Source organism: Homo sapiens, chromosome 18, assembly GCF_000001405.40.
Source record: "Homo sapiens chromosome 18, GRCh38.p14 Primary Assembly".
Lineage (NCBI taxonomy): Eukaryota > Metazoa > Chordata > Mammalia > Primates > Hominidae > Homo > Homo sapiens.
Genome location: NC_000018.10, coordinates 21,514,846 through 21,534,343, shown reverse-complemented (window position 1 = coordinate 21,534,343; position 19,498 = coordinate 21,514,846). Strand labels below are relative to the sequence as shown.

Sequence of the window (19,498 nt, the reverse complement as noted above, 5' to 3'; positions counted from 1 at the left end):
TATTAACTCATTTATGCCAAAGGTTGCAACAATTTTTTGATTTTTTTGCATGAGTGAAAAATAAGACCTTGGCGATGACCTTGAGCAGTAGGATATAAATAACTCCCACATGCTTAGTGTTCCAGTAATGGAACACTAGGCATAAGTGGGTTAATAGCTGCTTGCACAGATGTATGCTTGATCATAAAATTTTCTAAAAAAGTGAAAAGTCAAAGCAAGTTTGCAGGAGTTTCTCTATATATGTTAAGCTACGTGTTTAAAAAATTCAGCTGGGTGTGGTGGCACCTGTAGTCCCAGCTACTTGGGAGGCTTAGATCGGAGGACTGCTTGAACCCAGGAGTTTGAGGTTGTAGGGTGCTATGTTTGTGTCTGTGAATAGCCACTGCACTCCAGCATGGGCAGCATAGCCAGACTCTTGTCTCTTAAGAAAAAATAATAAATGAGTAAATAAATATTCAGCCTGAAATTATTATATAGTGCTTATGAACCTTGCTATAATAACAAAATTGATTTAAATAAGTAACTGATAGGGTAGTTTGGGGAAATTAATTTGATATAAATTGACTAATTCATAGAAGTTTGCCATACTGAAATTGAATTAATTTTACATAGTGCGAACTATTGTGTTTTTAAGGTTCTATTCCACCTAGATCCATAAATGACTTATAGCGGTGTTTAGACTAGAAGGATAACTATGTAATGTTTGTTAGGGTTGTTTTTGCTGACTCTTAACTGTGTTGTCTGTTTACTTTTAAGTTTTATATCTTGTCCCATCAGAAGGCTAGTCATGGCTGGGCACGGTGGCTCATGCCTGTAATCCAGGAGTTCAAGACCAGCCTGGCCAACATGTTGAAACCCCATCTCTACTAAAAATACAAAACTTAGTCGGGCATGGCGGTGCGTGCCTGTAATCTCAGCTACTTGGGAGGCTGAGGCATGAGAATCTCTTGAACCCAGGAGGCAGAGGTTGCAGTGAGCCGAGATCGCACCACTGTACTCCAGCCTGGGCGACAGAAGAAGCTCTGTCTCAAAGAAAAAACAAAAAAAACAACCAATTGTGTTATTTTTTGGCAGCTAGACTGGCAGAGATATTTTTTATTTTTTATTTTTTTCCCATAAAGCCAGCCACCATAAAAGAGATATATGTTTTTTAAGGTATTTTTTTTTTAAAGAGATTGCAGTGTGATGAAATGGCTTTTTAAATTATTGATTTCTCTGCTATCCCTAGTCTCAGTTCTTGTACAACTGTGAAATCTAGAACTGTGACAGCAATCACAGAAACAGTTACTGCTGTGTTCTTAACATGTACTTTTGCTGGTTCTTGGAGTGCGGGAGGTAGAGAGAACTAATGTTCAGTTCCTATTGGGGGGGCTCCTCATGATGGCAAGGTACTTTGCATATATTACTTGGTTTAATCTCTCAAAATGAGAGATGATGGATATCGCCAGTGAGGAACCCAAAGGTTAGAGAAATTGTAACTTACTTTCATGGTCATACAACTAGTAAGTGAACTGGAACAGAATGCAGATCCAGATTGTCTGTTTCCTAAAAATGAGAGTGAAAGCATAAGTGGCCCCATAGTTTGTTAAGCCAGTCAAATGTCATAACCGCCTCAACCAGATCAGTATTAGTTGCTAATTAATAATCTCACTTAAATTTTTTCCCCATTTTTGACACCTGTAGGGCTACAGAGTTATAGAAGAGAAACTTCCAGTTATCAGGTCAGAAGAAGAAAAAGTCAGATTTGAAAGGCAAAAAGCCTGGTGCTGCTCAACATTACCAGAGCCTGCAATCTGCGGGATCAGTCGAATATGGGTATTCAGCATGATGCGTCGGAAGAAAATTGCTTCTCGCATGATTGAATGCCTAAGGTAACTTGAATGTAATCCTTCAAATCATTTTTAGTAGTTTAGGACTTAGGCAGAGCTTTAGTGTAAAGATTGGCATTTAATTAACATGCGTATAATCTTTATTTGTATTAATTACAAATTTTGCATGAGGTTATCAGTGTATTGGATCTGTAAGTACTTTTTATGAGAATGTAATGTGAGGAGGAAGAAAGCACTATAGGCTAAACACTATTAATATTAAGCTGTTTCGACTTACTTATTTGTAACTATGATGTTAGGCCAAAATAACCTGCCTATTTCAAGTTGTGCTTCATTTTGAAGAATTTTAAATATAACCAAAGAAATGTGGAAAGTTCCTTGGGAGTTCAGCTTTTAGAGAAATTTATCTTAATTCAAGAATATTATTTGTAAACTATCAAAATCTCTTATTAGTTTTTCTTTTATCACTTGACTGTCAGAGATATCAAAGGGACACTCAGAAAAATTGTTTTGTTTTTTGTCCTATAAAGTACCTCTGATAAAGATTAATGAAGGAGGTTAAAATTAATTATTCAAAAGAGGTTTTTAGGTCAGCCAATTTTTTTTTTTTTTTTTTTTTTTGAGATGGAGTCTCATTCTGTTGTTCCGGGCTGGAGTGCAGTGGCGTGATCTCTGCTCACTGCAACCTCTGCCTCCCAGGTTCAAACGATTCTCCCACCTCAGCCTCCCAAGTAGTTGGGATTACAGGCACCCACCACCTCTCGAACTCCTGGTCTCAAGTGATCCACTCGCCTCTGCCTCCCAAAGTGCTGGGATTACAGGCGTGAGCCACTGCATCTGGCCAATTTTTCTATTTTTTGTAGAGATGGGGTTTTGCCATGTTCCCCAGGCTGGTCTCGAACTCCTGGGCTCAAGCAGTTCACCACCCTGGCCTCCCAAAGTGCTGGGATTACAGGTGTGAGCCATCGCGTCTGGCCCTAGGTCTTTAATGTCTTACTGCAGTGTTTAATAGTTTTCAGTGTACAAGTCTTAATGCTTCTTTTGTTACATTTATTCCCAAGTATTTTTTTTCTTTTTTGGAGACAGCATCTCACTTTGTCACCCAGGCTGGAGTGCAGTGGTGCAAACACAGCTCACTTCATCCTCAACATCCTGGGCTCAGGAAATCCTCCTGCCTCAGCCTCCTGAGTAGCTGAGACCATAGCCATGTGCCTGGCAAAAATTTCATTTGTTTTGGTACAGTCGGAGTCTTGCTATGTCGCCTGGGCTGGCCTTGAACTCTTGGGCTTAAGCAATCCTCTCACCTTGGCCTCCCAAAATGCTGGGATTACAGGTGTGAGACACTGTGCCTGGCAAGTATTTAATTTTTTTTGATGTTATTATAAATGGACTTTTTTCCCCCTAAATTTCAGTTTTAGGTTGTTCATTACAAGTGTATAGAAACAGTTTACTTTTGAATATCAATCTTGAATATGCAGCCTTGCCAGACTCGTTTATTAGATTTTTTGTTTGTTTTTGTGAATTTTTTAGGATTTTCTATAAACAAGGCCTTTTCATCTGCAAAAGAGATAGTTTTATTTCTTTCTTTCCAATCTGGATGATTTTTATTTCTTTTCCTCATGACGAGAACCTCCAATACAATATTGAATAGAAGAGGTGAGAGTAGTCTTCTCTTATTCCTGATCTTTGAGGAACAGTTTTCAGTCATTCACCATTAACTCTGATATTCCTTGATGTCTTTGATCAGGTTGAGGAAATATTTCTACTCTTAGTTGAATATTTTTATCATGAAAAGATGTTGGGTAAATGTTTTTACATTGTTGCTTTTATTAAAATTTAACCTCAGGTTATTGATATTATAGATGAATAATTATTTTCAAAAATTTTGAGCACATACAGCAGTATCTAAAAAGCTTTTTTAGTCAAATTGTATTTGACAGGTTATTCCAGTTTTAATGATTAGAATTTTTTTTTTTTTAACATTTCACACTTAACCCTTCCCCCCCCCCATTTTTTTTTAATAGGAGTAACTTTATATATGGCTCATATTTGAGCAAAGAAGAAATTGCTTTCTCAGATCCCACTCCTGATGGAAAGCTGTTTGCAACACAGTACTGTGGCACTGGTCAATTTCTGGTATATAATTTTATTAATGGACAGAATAGCACGTAAAACAAATTCTTGCCTACACCACTAGAAGACATCTATTGAAGAGAATGGATTGGTTGCTGACTTTAACCAGGAACTAGGGCCATTTTTATTACAATGAACTCAGGACTGGCAACAACCATATGGTTGTTCCATTTTCATAAAATTGGAAACAATGCAGTAATAGCTTATTGTTTTGTTTTTTAAAGAAGATATTTTATTATCTTTTACAGAAATTTATGATTGATGTATTTTATCTATAGTTATTTAGACATGTTTACATGCAGCAGATAATTGTTCATAGTGGACTGAAAACTAATGCAAGGACTATGGTCTCAGTGATAAGTATATTTTGAAGTTCTTAATATGGAAATATACCAGTGTAGCTTGGTACTGTATTTTTTTATATTGATCTGCTGATACCAGTGATAGGCTTAAAGATTGTATTTTCACAGAGTGGAAACCAATTTTTTTAGTTATTGTTCAAGGAGGGTGCAATATTAAGTGTTTTGGAATTTGAAGCTAATTTTTAAAAGGCCTGAACTATACTTTGAAGAAACCCCTATAGAAAAGGAAAGCTCCAGCTAAATAGGAAGAATTAGAATATTGAGCTTTTTTTTCCTGATTTTTCTCTTTCCTATCTTTGATGGAAGGAGGAAGTAGAAAGTGGTAAAGAATTGAGGCTTTCCTTCTTGGAGAGCTGTAAATGACAAGCATTAGGAAAGGTACCCTCCTAGATTCATTATTCTTTCATTCTGGTTTCACTTTTAAAATAAATGGCAACTTGGCACACCTAGGCTGTTAACAAATCTCAAAGAGGTTTATAAAAACGTATAGAATACTTGGAAGCAAAGTATGGATGACTCGGTATCTGCTTTGTTATTCCTCAGAAATACTGCACTGAGTATATGCCCTCATTACTGGACTTCATTTTGATACTTGTCTATCCTTCATAGTGCCCTCTACTTTTAAAGGGTTTATATGTTGAAAAACTGCTGTGGCCTTTTATGACCTGTATATAATGTAGAATAAAAATAATAAAATACTTGATAGCTTTTTCTAAGTGACCAATGTACTAACTGAGAATAATGGTGTGTTGTCATTTGTGCTTTTTCAGGGTGTTTTTTTGGTTTGATATCTTGAAATATGATTAAAACATTGGCTTCCTAAAGGCAGTTTCCACCAGTTTGCCAAAGGATCATTGTGTCAGCAGCAAATCAGCTGAACTTTATTTCCAAAGGCAAAATCCTTTCTGATTATTTTAGTAACATAGTACTTTTATGATGTTGCAAATAAATGAAGGGCCCACAGCCCAAGAATGAATTACCACTGTGGTTCAACTTAGGTTATTTTTGTGAGCTGAAATGATCATATCTCAGTTGAAAACTGGCTAAAATTTAGGGCCTTAAATTAACAGGTATACATTTTATTTCCCTATAAATTTTTGCTTTTACAATTTCTAGGCCAGGCGCGGTGGCTCACGCCTATAATCCCAGGACTTTGGAAGGCTGAGGCGGGCGGATCACGAGGTCAGGAGTTCGAGACCAGCCTGACCAATATGGTGAAATCCCGTCTCTACTAAAAATACAAAAATTAGCTGGTTTTGGTGGCATGCACCTGTAATCCCAGCTGCTCAGGAGGCTAAGGCAGGACAATAGCTGGAACCTGGGAGGTGGAGATTGCAGTGAGCAGAGATTGCACCATTGTACTCCAGCCTGAGCAAAAAGAGCAAAAAACTCCACCTCAAAAAAAAATTTTTTTTTCTAGAGTGGTATAAGACTCTACATTTTGTATGGGTAGAATGATAGGGCACGGTAAATATTTCCCCGTGATTCATCAAGCTGGTCTAGCTTTTTTTTTTTTTTTTTTTTTTTTTTGAGACAGAGGCTCACTCTGTCACCCAGGCTGGAGTGCAATGGCATGACCTCAGCTCACTGCAACCTCCACCTCCTAGGCTCAAGCGATTCTCCTGCCTCAGCCTCCAGAGTAGCTGGGATTACAGGCACCTGCCACCACGGCCGGCTAATTTGTTTTTGTATTTTTTAGTAGAAACAGGGTTTCACCACATTGGCCAGGCTGGTCTTGAACTCCTGACCTCACGTGGTCCACCTGCCTCGGCCTCGCAAAGTGCTGAGATTATAGGTGTGAGCCACTGCACCTGGCCCTAGCTTTTGATACTGTCATTTCCCTTTGGGCTTGAGACTGTTCTAGTCAATCCTGGTCTCATTGTTTGCCTGACAGGTACCATGATTTAAAAAAAAAAAAAAAAAACAGAATGAAATTTTGGGATATAGTGTAGACTCTCTAGTAACTGTTAATCCCATAATACAGGTCCAATTTCCATAAACAATAGTATACTACTTTGACTACTTTTGACTTGGTTTCAAGGTGACCTGGAGGTGGAAGAGGGTATATTGGGTGGTTGGTTTATATGTTATTATTACTGAGAAACCAGTTTATTTTCATGTTTATACTGAAGATATAGCCTCCCAAATTTTACAATTTAGGTATTTCTCTAAGAATAGTATTATTAGTTAATACCTAACATTTGAGTGTTTGCTATGTGTCAGACCCTGTGTGTTTAGTCCTGCATTATTTTATGTAATCATTACGACAGTCCTATGAGGTAGGGTTTATAATTGAGGAATCTGGAACTTAGATGATAATTAAGAGCCGTTTGTGTGAAAAGTGTTGAAACACTGAACTAAAGCTGTGATGTGGAGATGAAGACGAGACAGATACACATTGAAAAGATAAAATTGAAGAATTGACACAGTTGAATTGATAGGAATTTATAAACAACCAGAAAAAGATCATGGCAAAGAGGTTAAGGTAAGTGGGAATTTTGGTTTGGGTAATTGAATTAGATTGACAGATGGGAATACAGGGGAATTAGGTTGGGAGGATTGGATGGGGATGTCCTCAGTTTTGGTCAAGATTTTAAGGTGGTTGTAGAAAGAGTCTCTTAAGTGGAGAAACCTTTTAGTATACAATTGGATATGTGAATCTAGAGTTTCAGAAAGGTTCTAACTGAGAAACAAATTTATGAGTTCACTTATTTATTTGAAGGTTCACAAGGTCACCCTGGGGTTTGTAAAATGAGAAGGTAGAAGAGAGTTGTGAGGTACACCATCATTTAAGAGTCTCAAAGAAGACTGCCTAAGAAGGCATGAGCAGCAAGGTAGGAGAGCCAGAAGAGAGTGGTAGAAACCAAGGGAAAAATGTCAAGAATCAAAGAATGATCAACCCTGTCATACCACAGTTGAAGACTGAAGAGAGCCCAAGTGATGTTAGGAAAAGAGCAGTCTCAGTGGAGTGGTGGAGGCAGCAGGGACACGGTGAGTGTACACTAATGGCCACAGACTGTAGAAGAGGGTGAGTCTGTAATTGCTGACTATATAAAGGTGCTTATAGATTTTTTGTTAGCAGCCCTCATGTAGTTGTTGGTTGTTTATAAAAATATCTAGCATAGAGACATGGTAAGAGCCACAAATATAGTCAGGAACTACAAGATTTTATGGGCGATGCTTTTATCTGCATGGACACACAGATAAAAAGCAGTATTTTACTACTTCATAATATGCAAGAGTGAACTTGGTTTATCTACTGAAAGCCTGACTGTTGTAAGGACAGTCAGTGAGTACAACAAACCTGCAGTGTTATTTTAATTGTTCTTGTTTACTTTGCACGGCTGCCCAGCTATAGAGTCTTATCCTTCTGGATGGGAACACAGCTGTATTCCTGCCCATCCACATTGCAGCTAGGGTTGAGATTGCTGAGTGAGTTGATTTCTAGGGTAGTGACTCTAGACATACATTTTCTTTCTCATGGCTCCTGAGTCTTTAGGCAGAAAAAGGGATGAGTTCTGTCTTTTAGCAACCCCCCACCCCCACCCTTCTGGTAAAAATAAAATACACTGGACTAGTAAAAATAAAATATGTGGAATGAAGTGGTCAGAAAAGAACTTACTGGTGTTGCCTTTTTTTTTTTTTTTTAACTTAATACCATCATCTATTGTCATAGTCACTGAAGTAGATGCTTTAACTCAACAACACTTGATAGTTGAGAGCACAGTGAATTTATTATGTGAATGACTTTTTCTTTGGCCTTAGCGGCAATTCCTAAAGTCATCTTTAGCAGTATTTTTACTGTTGTTGTTTTGTTTTCAGTGAAGCCAAGGTTTCAGTGTTAGAGTAGTATTCTCCTAGACTCAGAGGAAGCTTTAAGGGCCAATTTCCAGTTTCTGTGTCTAAAGAGAAGCTTGATAAATGTTCGTTCTCTGGATGTTGTTTCAGGCCTAAGTAGTTTAGTGTGATGTTGCAGCAGTCAGTTTCACAGTTAATTAATAGTCTTTTCAAGGCAGCTGCTTTGGAATGTATAGTGGAACACCAGTAGTCTTTACTTTCCTCTGAAAGTCTGTCATTACACTTACAAATATTTATTGCCCTTCCTGAGGGTCCTTTGGCCTAGAAGATTGTTTTCATGGAATCTATGTCAAATTCTTTTAATTTACTACACTTTATTAATAGATTGAAAGCCATTTTTCTGGGACAACAAAGTTGTTATTCTCAAAAGTTGGTAAAATTTTTTAAGAAGATATAATTCATACTACAATAACAGCATCTTCATACTACATAGTTCTAGCAACTTTGAGACACTCTCAAAAAGTTTGAGAAGTTTTAACTGGAGATTAACAATAACAAACACCTTGTATTAGTTTTAGCAACCCAAAGTTGTTCTGTTTCCAGAAGGACATCAAAGTGAGTGTAGTTGCAATCTGTCAAATAAAAGATTGGTATCTACTATGTATGTTTTCAACACCTCTTTAATCTTGGTTGTCCAACCTATAATGTGACTGACTTCCAGCCTTTTTAGGACATTGCCAGAGTCAGGGAGCTTGTTTTCTTAACAAACATGCCAGAAAACTATAAAGAAAAAATAACTTTTTGGAGGGGGTGGGAGATAACTTTAATACATTAAGCAAATTAAATCAAAGGACAAAAATATAACAGTAGACACAAGACAATTTTGAATCATTAACAAAATGTGAGGTAGACTAGTGAAATTCACCAAATTTTGGTTAAGAACATTTTACAGTAATAACACGGGTGCCCCATTTTCTAAAAATCACAAAAAGCAATTGCATAAATTACAGCCAAAAAAAATTATAACAATTGTCTTCTAGTTTTTCGTTTACATTCAGTATTAACCTGTGTGAACTGTCATACATGCTGAGGTTCAGCAGGTCTACAGGTGAGTTACTGTGTGGGCCTAGCGAATCCATTCATCCCACATCAGTGTCCTAAGGGATTGCAAAGCTTAAAGCTGAACACACTAGGATATATATATATATACACACAAATCATGGTGTCCTGTGCTTGTGCAATTTTATCCTTAAAGAAGGACCTAACATACTCAAGAATTATACTGATGATAAGATGATTTTAAAAGATCCAAACATTAGTAAGATAGGCTTTGAAAAGAATAGGCAGATCAATTTCTCCATTATAGGGGTGATGGTCTTTTGGCTTTATTCTGGCATATCTCTTCCAGAGTTAAATAGTATTTAAGAGCTCATAATAATAATTTGAATTTTCAGAGTGCAGCCCTAACTAATGGAGTACCTGCATCTGATGTAACTACTTAAAAAAAAAGTTCTTTAAACTATGAAGTCATAAAGCCAGAAGAAACCCTGAGAGGCCATCCACCCCAGGTACAATTGTTTCAGAATTCTTTCAAGTATTTTATTTGCCCTATGTAAATGTTATTGGAATATTGCACAGACAGTGGGTTTCTTGGTATTATTTGCATTAGGCCCTTTCAACAAAACAGGAACAAGTGAAATACATTCATATTTAAACCAAATTGCTTCAAAACATACCTCTTTACCAAAAATTCTGCTGTACTAAAATTAAGGAGTATTTTTTAAAGCATATATAAGGCAGGTCCTCTTTGAAGGACAATTAAAAATGGGGTTAAAAGGAATTGTTCACTTCAAAATACAGTTAAAGCATTATAAGTAGCTATATTAAAACCAAGAGATCTGCAAACCATTTTTAGTCTAATACATTCCATTTTTTCACTAGCTTTGTAAACTCCTTGTTGTCATAAGATAATAAAGCTGGTCAATTAACACTATTTGTTCTAAGTAAATGCAGGCTTAGTAGGCCCCTCAGTAGTTTCAGGTCACAAACAAGATTGATTCAAGTAAAAATGGCCATTTTAAGTGGGGATAAAGTAGTAAATATGGGCTAATGAGAAAACTCTCAAGAGATTGTTCAATGATGAGAACTGGAGTAATTTAAGAGTAAACTTCTAAGACTTAGTTTTATCTAGAACACTTTCTAAAAATAATGTTTTTGATTAAAATATTTGAGAAATCTGTAGAAACATATGCCTCCCATTGCCGATACTGGACAAACACCCCCTGCTGATTTTAATGAATCAAAAAGACTCTTAATGGAGTCTTCCTTACTCCTCACAAGAGTCACTGGTAAGATTAAGTAAAAAAACATTTCTCTTTCTATGGCTCAATTTCCCAATTCGGCAATTTCTGTGGCGTTGTCAGTGTAAGGTGGTAATATTTAGTGCATCTTTTAAAGGAAGCTTTGCTTGAGTCCCTGAAAGGAAACAAACTAGTTTCACTCTGCAACAGAACCTCAGCCTGACATTTAGGTTTGCTGGTGCCAACTGCTTAATTCCAACCAAACGGTGGGTGCAGGTTACCTGCTGAAAGCTTCTTAACTGACTTAAGTTCTTGCAAAAGATTAATCACTGTTCCATAGTCTCATAGATAAGATATTCTTAAAGACTGGAAACACATTTAAAGAGTGGGTAAAGCAAAGGAATTAGGCTAGGAGAAGATGCATAAATGCACACAATGCCTGCTCTGCATTTACTGATTTGTTTGTTCAGTTTAAATAGTAAACTTCTAACTCCTGTGGAAATTTTGCCAAAAGTTTCAATACATAGAAGATTATAAATCTTAAACTAACACTGCACAGAGAAAGACAAAGCTACTTCTTTTTTTAAATACAAATATCGTCTACATTCTATCATTTCAAACCCCTGAGTAATACTGTACCAAAGTACAGATCTGAAGAGAAACTGAGGGTTCAGGCCTCAAACGTTAATCTTCAATTGATTCCACACCAATGGCATGAGTCTCATGTAACACATTCAGGCTAGTTAATCCTGACAGTCAGTTTCCCCCTAACATAGTAATAGAAAAAAATAATGCAAACTCCATATTCACTCTCCAAAGTATATCCTCCTCAGGATCCCATGGGCAGACCGTATCTTAAGTAATTGCATAACTGCCTAGGATAGAGTTTACCTGAATTTAAGGGTCCTGTAATTGGAACTGAAGGAAAGTGATGTCCCCAAAGACCTGGATCAGATTTGGGGAGTTCTTTGGAGAATTTAGACAAATATGTTGCACTTTGCTCCACAGTGATTGTACTTTAAAGGAAAAAGAAAAATCCCAAATTGTTTCTGTCCCATCCCACCTAGGCATCTTTTTGCTGTTTTGGTCTCTTCAAAAGCTCATACATGACGTCCAGTAAGAAAGTAGAGAGGCTTGTCATCACTGCTGTTAGCAGTTTGAAACTCGTCCCGGAGGCGGAACTGCCACTCATCTTCTAGCTCTAAGCGGACAATTGTTTGGCGCAAGGAACTTCTGTCTTGGCAGATGACACACAGTGTAGCACCTTCAGGAAAAAAGACAGAAATATGTCCTAGGCTCAGGGATTGAATTTATAAAGAACTTTATCTCTGATTATATTTCCTAAGCTAACACATCTGAGAACCAACAGATGGATAAGCAATCTATCAGAATTGTTTTATTTTATTAAGTAGTTTTGCAAATTCAGTAATTTTTTTTGTTTCTTTTTTTGAGACGGAGTCTTGCTCTGTCTCCAGGCTGGAGTGCAGTGGTGCGATCTCGGTTCACTGCAACCTCTGCCTCCTGGGTTCAAGCAATTCCCCTGCGTTAGCCTCCCAAGTAGCTGAGACTACAGGTGTCTGCCACCAGGCCCAGCTAATTTTTTTTTGTATTTTAGTAGAGATGGGGTTTCATCATGTTGGCCAGGATGGTCTCGATCTCCTGACCTCGTGATCCACCTGCCTCGGCCTTCCAAGGTGCTGGGATTACAGGTGTGAGCCACTGCGCCCAGCCCAAATTCAGTAATTTTTAAGAGTATAAAGTAAGTAATCTTCCAACCACATTCCCTCTTCCCTGTGATAACTAATGTTATGTTTCTCATGTGTTCCTCCTAGATTAGGGTTTCTGAACCTCAGCACTATTGGACTTGGATAATTCTTTGTTGTGGGGGCTATTCTGTGTCTTACCTTTTTTTTTTTTGGAGACGGAGTCTTCCTCTGTTGCCCAGGCTGGAGTGCAGTAGTGCAATCTTGGCTCACTGCAACCTCCGCCTCCTGGGTTCAAGCAATTCTCCTGTCTCAGCCTCCCAGGTGGCTGGGACTACAGGTGCACGCCACCACTCCCAGCTAATTTTTTGTATTTTAGTAGAGACGGAGTTTCACAGTGTTGCCCAGGCTGGTCTCAAACTCCTGAGCTCAGCCAATCCACCCACCTTGGCCTCCCAAAGTGCTGGGATTACAGGCGTGAGCCATCACACCTAGCCTTGTTCTGTGTCTTGTAGGATGTTTGGAATCTAAACATCCTGCAGTCTTGGCTTCTGCCCACTATATGCCAGCAAGCAGCAGCCTCCAGTGCGACAATCAGAAGTGTCTCTGTCTCCTGGGAGGCAAAATCTACCACTCCCCCATCCCCAATAAGTCTCTAAATAAATAAATAAATAAATAAGTGAATGAATGAATGCACAGTCCCCGCACAACCCCTCTCCCTGTTCTCATGCTGCACAGCGTTCTGAACCTCACTTTCTTCACTGATCTCAAAGGTCATTTTATAAGGATTATCTGTGATGTTTAATCTTAGTTTGTTCTTAGGCCAGTCTCTCTTTTTTTTTTTTTTGAGATGGAGTTTCACTGTTGTTGCCCAGGCTGGAGTGCAATGGCGTGATCTTGGCTCACTGCAACCTCTGCCTTCCGGGTTTAAGCGATTCTCCCGCCTCAGCCTCCCGAGTAGCTGGGATTACAGGAGCCACCACGCCCGGCTGATTTTGTATTTATTTATTTACTTTTTTTTTGAGACGGAGTCTTGCTCTGTTGCCCAGGCTGGAGTGCAGTGGCGTGATCTCAGCTCACTACAAGCTCCGCCTCCCAGGTTCACGCCATTCTCCTGCCTCAGCCTCCCCAGTAGCTGGGACTACAGGTGCACACCACCATGCCTGGCTAATTTTTGTTGTATTTTTTAGTAGAGACGGTTTCACCATGCTAGCCAGGATGGTCTCGATCTCCTGACCTCGTGATCCACCCGCCTCGGCCTCCCAAAGTGCTGAGATTACAGGCGTTGAGCCACTGCGCCTGGCCTCAAGTGCTTTTTAAAAATATCTTTATCTTCTGTATTTTGCTCAGTGGGAACCAATAGCAATTACAAGCAAGATACTAAATTTGACTTACCTTTTAGAAATTTAAATTTCTTAAGATCAGCACCTACAAAAGAGTCACAGAGGTACAAAAGGAGTCCACTGAAAAACACCCCTTCACAGTTGACATTGCTGGAGTGGGGTCTGGAGCTGATATAGCATATGGCCACCTGAAATCATCAAGCAAAAATAGCATGGGCATTTCAAGAGCAAGCAAAATATCTGCAGTTCAGCAGAATGACTCAGTACCTTCCTTTTTCTCTATTTCAGGATAAGGTAAAGGAGATGAGTTTTTTCCAATATTAACTTAAATGGCTTGGTTAGTTAAGCTTTGCAGCCTCCTTTATGTAGCGTGCCAAGTGTTAACCTGTTTAAAGCTTCTCTTATTTATGTTTCATAATAAAGGACTATTAGGAGACAAATTAGTAGTAAGAAACAAGCCCTTCCATTTAAGAGTCTTTATCAAATTTAAAAAACTACCTTCCACAAAAAAGCATACTTAGGAAAGATTAAATGTTTGGATTGCCTTATTGGTGAGAATAAAAAATATTTTTGATCAGCTTTCCATTTAGATATACTTAAATTTTCAATTGGATAGAAGCTTAAGACAGTGCATGGGCTGGGTGCGGTGGCTCACGCCTGTAATCCCAGCCCTTTGAGAGGCCGAGGTGGATGGATCATCTGAGGTCAGGAGTTGGAGAGCAGTCTGGCCAACGTGGCAAAATTCCATCTCTAGTAAAAAATACAAAAAAAATTAGCCAGGCGTGATGGTGTGCACCTGTAATCCCAGCTACTCAGGAGACGGAGGCAGGAGAATCGCTTGAACCCTGGAGGTGGAGGTTGCACTGAGCCGAGGTTGCACTGAGCCGAGATTGCACCATTGCACTCCAGCCAGGGTGACAAGAGTGAAACTCCATCTCAAAAAAAAAAAAAAGACAGTGCATGAATTTAAATTTTTGGTTCTATCTGGCTTCTGTGAACAGATGATAACTGCAAAAATTACGGAGAAGTAAGTAAGATAGTTGGGAGTTAAAACAGTGGAATGGCTAAATGCATGAGCCAGTCTGCTTGGGTTCAAATACTGGTTCCTCCATTTAGTAGCCATGGAACAATGAACAGTCTCCTTCATTTCACTATACCTCAGTTTCCTCATCTGTAGAGATAACAATAGTACTTGTTTCATAGGATGTTTTCTGAATTAAATAACTTAGTATTCAGTAAATGTTAGCTGTTGTTAAGTATTGAGATTGTGTTAATACGTAGAGCCCTGGACTCTAGGATAGGGGAATTGGAATATCTGGGTCAGACATGTAAATTACATACATCTTTTACAGTACTTACATAAATACTGTAAAAGATGTTATTAGATCTCGTGGGTGTGGGTTTGTTTTGTTTTTTTTGAGATGGGGTCTCTGTCACTTAGGCTGTAATGCAGTGGCACAAATCAGATCACTGCAACCTTGAACTCCTGGGGTCACGTGATCTTCCCACCTCAGCCTTTTGAATAGCTGGGACTACAGGCGTGCGCCATCACACCTGGCTAATTATTTTTATTTTTTGTAGTGACAGGGTGTTACCATGTTGTCCAGGCTGGTCTCGAACTCCTGGCCTCAAGTGATCCTCCCACCTCAGCCTCCCAAAATGCTGGGTTATAGGCACGAGCTTCTATGCCTGGCCTTTATATCTGATGGTTTTTAAGGTTCCTTCTACTTCTAAAATTCTATAATTCATTACCCAATCTACAGTGTAGATTACTGAAACATAAAAATGGGAATGTAAAATGTTTACACTGTGAAATTTTAAAAATTAGTTTCCAAAACTGAATACAGTGACTTTAGCGTTAAAAGAGTACGTGTATGGATATGTGTGTTTTTTTCAATACATACAAAGAAAAAGCCCTGGAAGGAAATGTAGTACACCAAAATATTCTTCTGGCAGGTGACTTTACTTTCTTATGATTTTAAAACATTTTTTACAAGGAGGATGTAGTACAGTAATCATTTCTAAAGGGACAGCTTAGTAGTAGGAGCCTGGAGGTGCAAGTGGCAGTTTAAAAAAAACTAAAATGTGAAAAATTTTAGAAAGAAGTCCAAGGGGTGGGAAGTGGAGAAATGCCACCTCTAAAGGCTTCAGGTGATACACATTTATTTGTTCGGTAATCACTGAGCTCCTCTTACGTATGTCTAAAACAATGCCTAAGACATTGTATGTCTTTGAAGAACTCACACTTTTATGAAGAAAAACCCACATAATTACAGTATAATCTGATGAATGTTAAGAGAAGTGGGAACAAGCAACTGCTGCCCAAAGTCACCGAGGTAGGCTTCTTAGAGGAGCTGACAGCTGAGTTGTATATTCTCTGGCTCATTTGTGGAGATAAAATAGGCATGGGGAGGGCAAACTGCCATTGCATGTTGTGTGAACCTTTGCATAAGTGAGTATGCAAAAGGGTAGAAATACAAGTTTTGATCTGTATTACTATCTTTAATAAAAGTTCTGGCAAAGGACCAGACTGGCATCTTGATTGATATTTCATGTCACAGGCTCCTTTTTTGTAAACAGCTAAAATGAGAAAGAAATGGATGGATGTAGGTAAGCACAGTATCCCCCACACCCTTTTTACCTCTGGTCCAATGTTAAGGTAGCAGTCAATGGCCAGCACAGGACTCCTGAAGTTATGGATGGCTTTGGGGAAGAGTTTATATGAGGCGTGCTGAAGGAATTTCTCCAGGAGAAACTGTGCAGGGGCTGCCAGTAGTGTGTGTTCACTGTCGGGAGCACAGATGTATTGAAGGGGCAAGATGGGTGCTAAGCTCTCTGACACCTGAAATCAGAGGCGAGATGATCATGGGAAACTTGTCTGTCACTGGATTAAACAGGTGAGGAAACACTGAAGTGTATCCTAACAGTCGCCAAATAATAGCAGTAGCACAGTGAGGGGTGCTAGGTTCAAATGTATGTTAGTAAAGGGTCCTGAAAATTTTTTTCTCTTGGGAATAGTAAAATAGGATTTAATGTAAGTTACACACAGCGAGGGCAGAAGAAAGCAGGCTTCTCTGAAAGTTACCACATTTAACAGGTACACTGTGAGATCCAATCGGAAGCCTTTTACAGTGTGTGTGGGTTAAATCCTATCTCATCCTAACTCTACCCCACAACCCCACCAAAAAAATGGCAAAGAGGTTTCTAAGCTCCACTGGTAGCCCCCATGCTGTGAATTACTACATTCAGTAGATTTCTTAGAAAAGGGTAGTAATACAGGTTTTGATCTTTATTACTATCTTTTAAGAAACTTCTAGCAAAGGATCAGACTGGCATCTTGATTTATATTTCTCTCATGTATTACATAAAGAATGTAAAAATGTGGTGGTGCGTGGTGGCTGAGGCAGGAGAATCGCTTGAACCCGGGAGGCAGAGGTTGCAGCGAGCTGGGATCATGCCACTGCAGTCCAGCCTGGGCAACAGAGCGAGACTCTGTCTCAAAAAAAGAAGGTAAAAATGTAAAGTTTGCCATCTTGAAACTAAAGCCTTGAAGGATGTGTTAAGGCTTAAATCCAAAGAAACTTAGATTTAAGGCTGACATCTAAAGTAATTTTGTTGGATTGTCAAAACAAATGTTTTGGCTCTAGATGAGTCTCAGTAACAGAAATGAGATTGAAAATTTGACATTAAGAACTCCCTAATGGCCGGATGCGGTGGCTCATGCCTGTAATCCCAGCACTTTGGGAGGCCAAGGCGGGTGGATCACTTGAGGTCAGGAGTTCAAGACCAGCCTGGCCAACATGGTGAAACCCCATCTCTACTAAAAATATAAAAATTATCCAAGCGTGGTGGCACGGACCTCTAATCCCAGCTACTTGGGAGGCTGAGGTACAAGAATCGCTTGAACCCAGGAGGCAGAGCTTGCAGTGAGCCGTGATCACGCCACTGCTCTCCATCCAGCCTAGGGGACAGACTGTCTCAAAAAAAAAAAAAAAAAACTCCCTTGTGTTATTTCACTTTTCTAATAAAATAGAAAGTGCTTAATGCCAACATCTAATAACAAAGATAGTCATTATCATTGTGCTTATTTTCAGCACTTGAATCAAGCTTGCGGTACTCACCATGATCTTTGGTTTAATGATAAAGTCCCTTTGCCCTCCAACCTGAACATGTTTCTTCATGAGACTGAAGTTATTAAAGCGGCAGATGAGCAGGCCACTACTGTTTGTTCTCAGATTAAAGTCAGCATCTTCACAGAAATACCTAAATTGTAACCACAACAATAGTTTTCTTCCGCTGGCATATCTCAACCATGATAACTATACACAGAGAAATAAATGTGTGGCAAGATATTAGGAGCCTAAAATAATCAACCATGCTTTTGTGGAGCTGGCCCTCGTAACACTGACCTGGAAAAACTCTGATTTGGGCATTACAGCCTTTCAAGGAAGGGGAAAGTGAGATTATTTTTGTCCCAGCTATGTCACAGGTTTTAGGTATCCCTATGCAAAAACAGGACTATATTCCTATTTGATACACTCCGGCAAAACAGGAATGCAGAGGTGCTCCCAGTTTTAAATTTCTGGCTACAAGCAGGATGAAGCCTCTGTCAAATTTAAAACAGGAGTGAAAGCAGCAGCTATTCTATAACCGTAAGTTTGGCATAAGGACTTTATGGTTCCTGCCTTCTTGCTTGGCCCTCTCAGGTTTTGTAGGAACCTGGACATAATTTATTTGGGAGGCAAGGCCATGGCTACCCTGCTCATCCCCATCTGCTGCCTTTTCCCTACAGTAGGATTTCCCTGAATCCTACTAACATTCAGGAAAATTGATTTCCTTCTGAGTCTGGAGGGTGAAGGAGGGCTTAGTCTAACATTCAGGAAAAGTGATTTCCTTCTGAGTCTGGAGGGTGAAGGAGGCTTAATCTTAGATGTTTGTGGGTCCACACACTGACTTGAGTCAGTAGTTTTTGTGTCTTGAGTTCTTGTTGAATAATGAGATGGCTAAAGTGTTTTCTCTAAGCATTTCACATTGTAACCCCTGTTAAGGTCTAGGTCAGTTTGCTGATAAAGGGGCACACTTTGGGGCTTGTGATCCCCCTTTCTCCTTGCCCACATAAAGAGTCAGCTTCTCAACTGAAGACATACGAATAAAAGCATTACAGAGGCTAGAGCTGGGCAGAAGCAATCAGTAGATGCCAGGATTACCTGCATCCATGAGGCCTGACTTACCTGTTGAAGTCATACTGCACATTCTGAGTCAAGTCTGTGTTGAGGAGAATGAAATCATGCACGTGACACCTAGAGAATGGGGCCTTTAGGCTCTGAGAAGTCAGCTTGCTGCTCCATTTCTGTATGCCCAAGATTGCATAGTGGACAATTTTTGGTGTGGCTTCAATGTGCTGCAAGACAGTCTTCAAGGACACATTCTTACTGGAAACTCCTACTTCCATGGGCTGGCTATGAAATATAGTTTATATAAGATGTTGATAAATATTACAGAAGAGAGGATCATTTGTGAAGTGTCTACACACTACTATATACCAGTAATACTCTCAAGGATAAAATTAACTGATTTACTTCGTATTAGCAAATGGAGAAGAATGTCAAGCCCAGTTTTCACACTGCCTGTCACTATTATAAAGAAACTGCCTTTTGGGGTGGGGCTTATCACTTTCGGGCAAAGAAAGAAATCCGGCCTGTGTCAGAGTGAACAGTGAATAAAGAGTTGCCAAAGAAGAGGTAGCCGGAGGTTGGAAGCATAGAGGTATCCTTCCCAGTTCTGGTAATTGTGTATAATAAGGAATATTTGAAAATTTCACTGGCTTCAAATCCAAAATAGGAACAAGGACACAAAATCACAGTGTTTGAGCTGGGAGGGGCTTAAAGGTCAGCTGGCACAGTGTTGCAATGGGAGTGCTATTGAATTTTGGGGGTTTATTGTGTCGGACTTCTTAAAATGTTTGGCATTCTCTGGTCCTCACAGATGCCCCGACCAGCACCCCCTAGCAATGTGAGGGGGCACTACCCC

The 19,498-nt window shown here is 39.3% G+C and overlaps 2 protein-coding genes across 29 annotated transcripts in view; one reads left to right on the top strand and one right to left on the bottom strand.

The window, feature by feature from the left end:
• The window catches only part of ESCO1 (establishment of sister chromatid cohesion N-acetyltransferase 1), a 71,421-nt gene extending 66,361 nt beyond the window's left edge, over window positions 1-5,060 (top strand). For all 4 annotated transcript variants that reach the window (XM_011525799.4, NM_052911.3, XM_047437285.1 and 1 more), the window contains 2 exons: window positions 1,684-1,871; window positions 3,854-5,060. In XM_011525799.4, coding sequence (XP_011524101.1) covers window positions 1,684-1,871; window positions 3,854-4,001 — 336 coding nt within the window. In that variant the 3' untranslated portion in view covers window positions 4,002-5,060. The remainder of the gene's footprint in view (window positions 1-1,683; window positions 1,872-3,853) is intronic.
• Window positions 5,061-8,231: 3,171 nt separating this feature from the next.
• Window positions 8,232-19,498, bottom strand: part of GREB1L (GREB1 like retinoic acid receptor coactivator) — a 283,881-nt gene continuing 272,614 nt past the window's right edge. For 16 of the 25 annotated variants that reach the window (XM_047437809.1, XM_017025990.2, XM_017025991.2 and 13 more), the window contains 3 exons: window positions 18,700-18,927; window positions 17,590-17,731; window positions 14,413-16,310 (listed from right to left, as the gene is read on the bottom strand). In XM_047437809.1, coding sequence (XP_047293765.1) covers window positions 15,717-16,310; window positions 17,590-17,731; window positions 18,700-18,927 — 964 coding nt within the window. In that variant the 3' untranslated portion in view covers window positions 14,413-15,716. Of the gene's footprint in view, window positions 11,687-13,520; window positions 13,657-14,412; window positions 16,311-17,589; window positions 17,732-18,699; window positions 18,928-19,498 lie in introns of those variants that run through there. The other 9 variants (XM_006722547.4, NM_001410867.1, XM_047437816.1 and 6 more) reach the window with 2 other exon arrangements.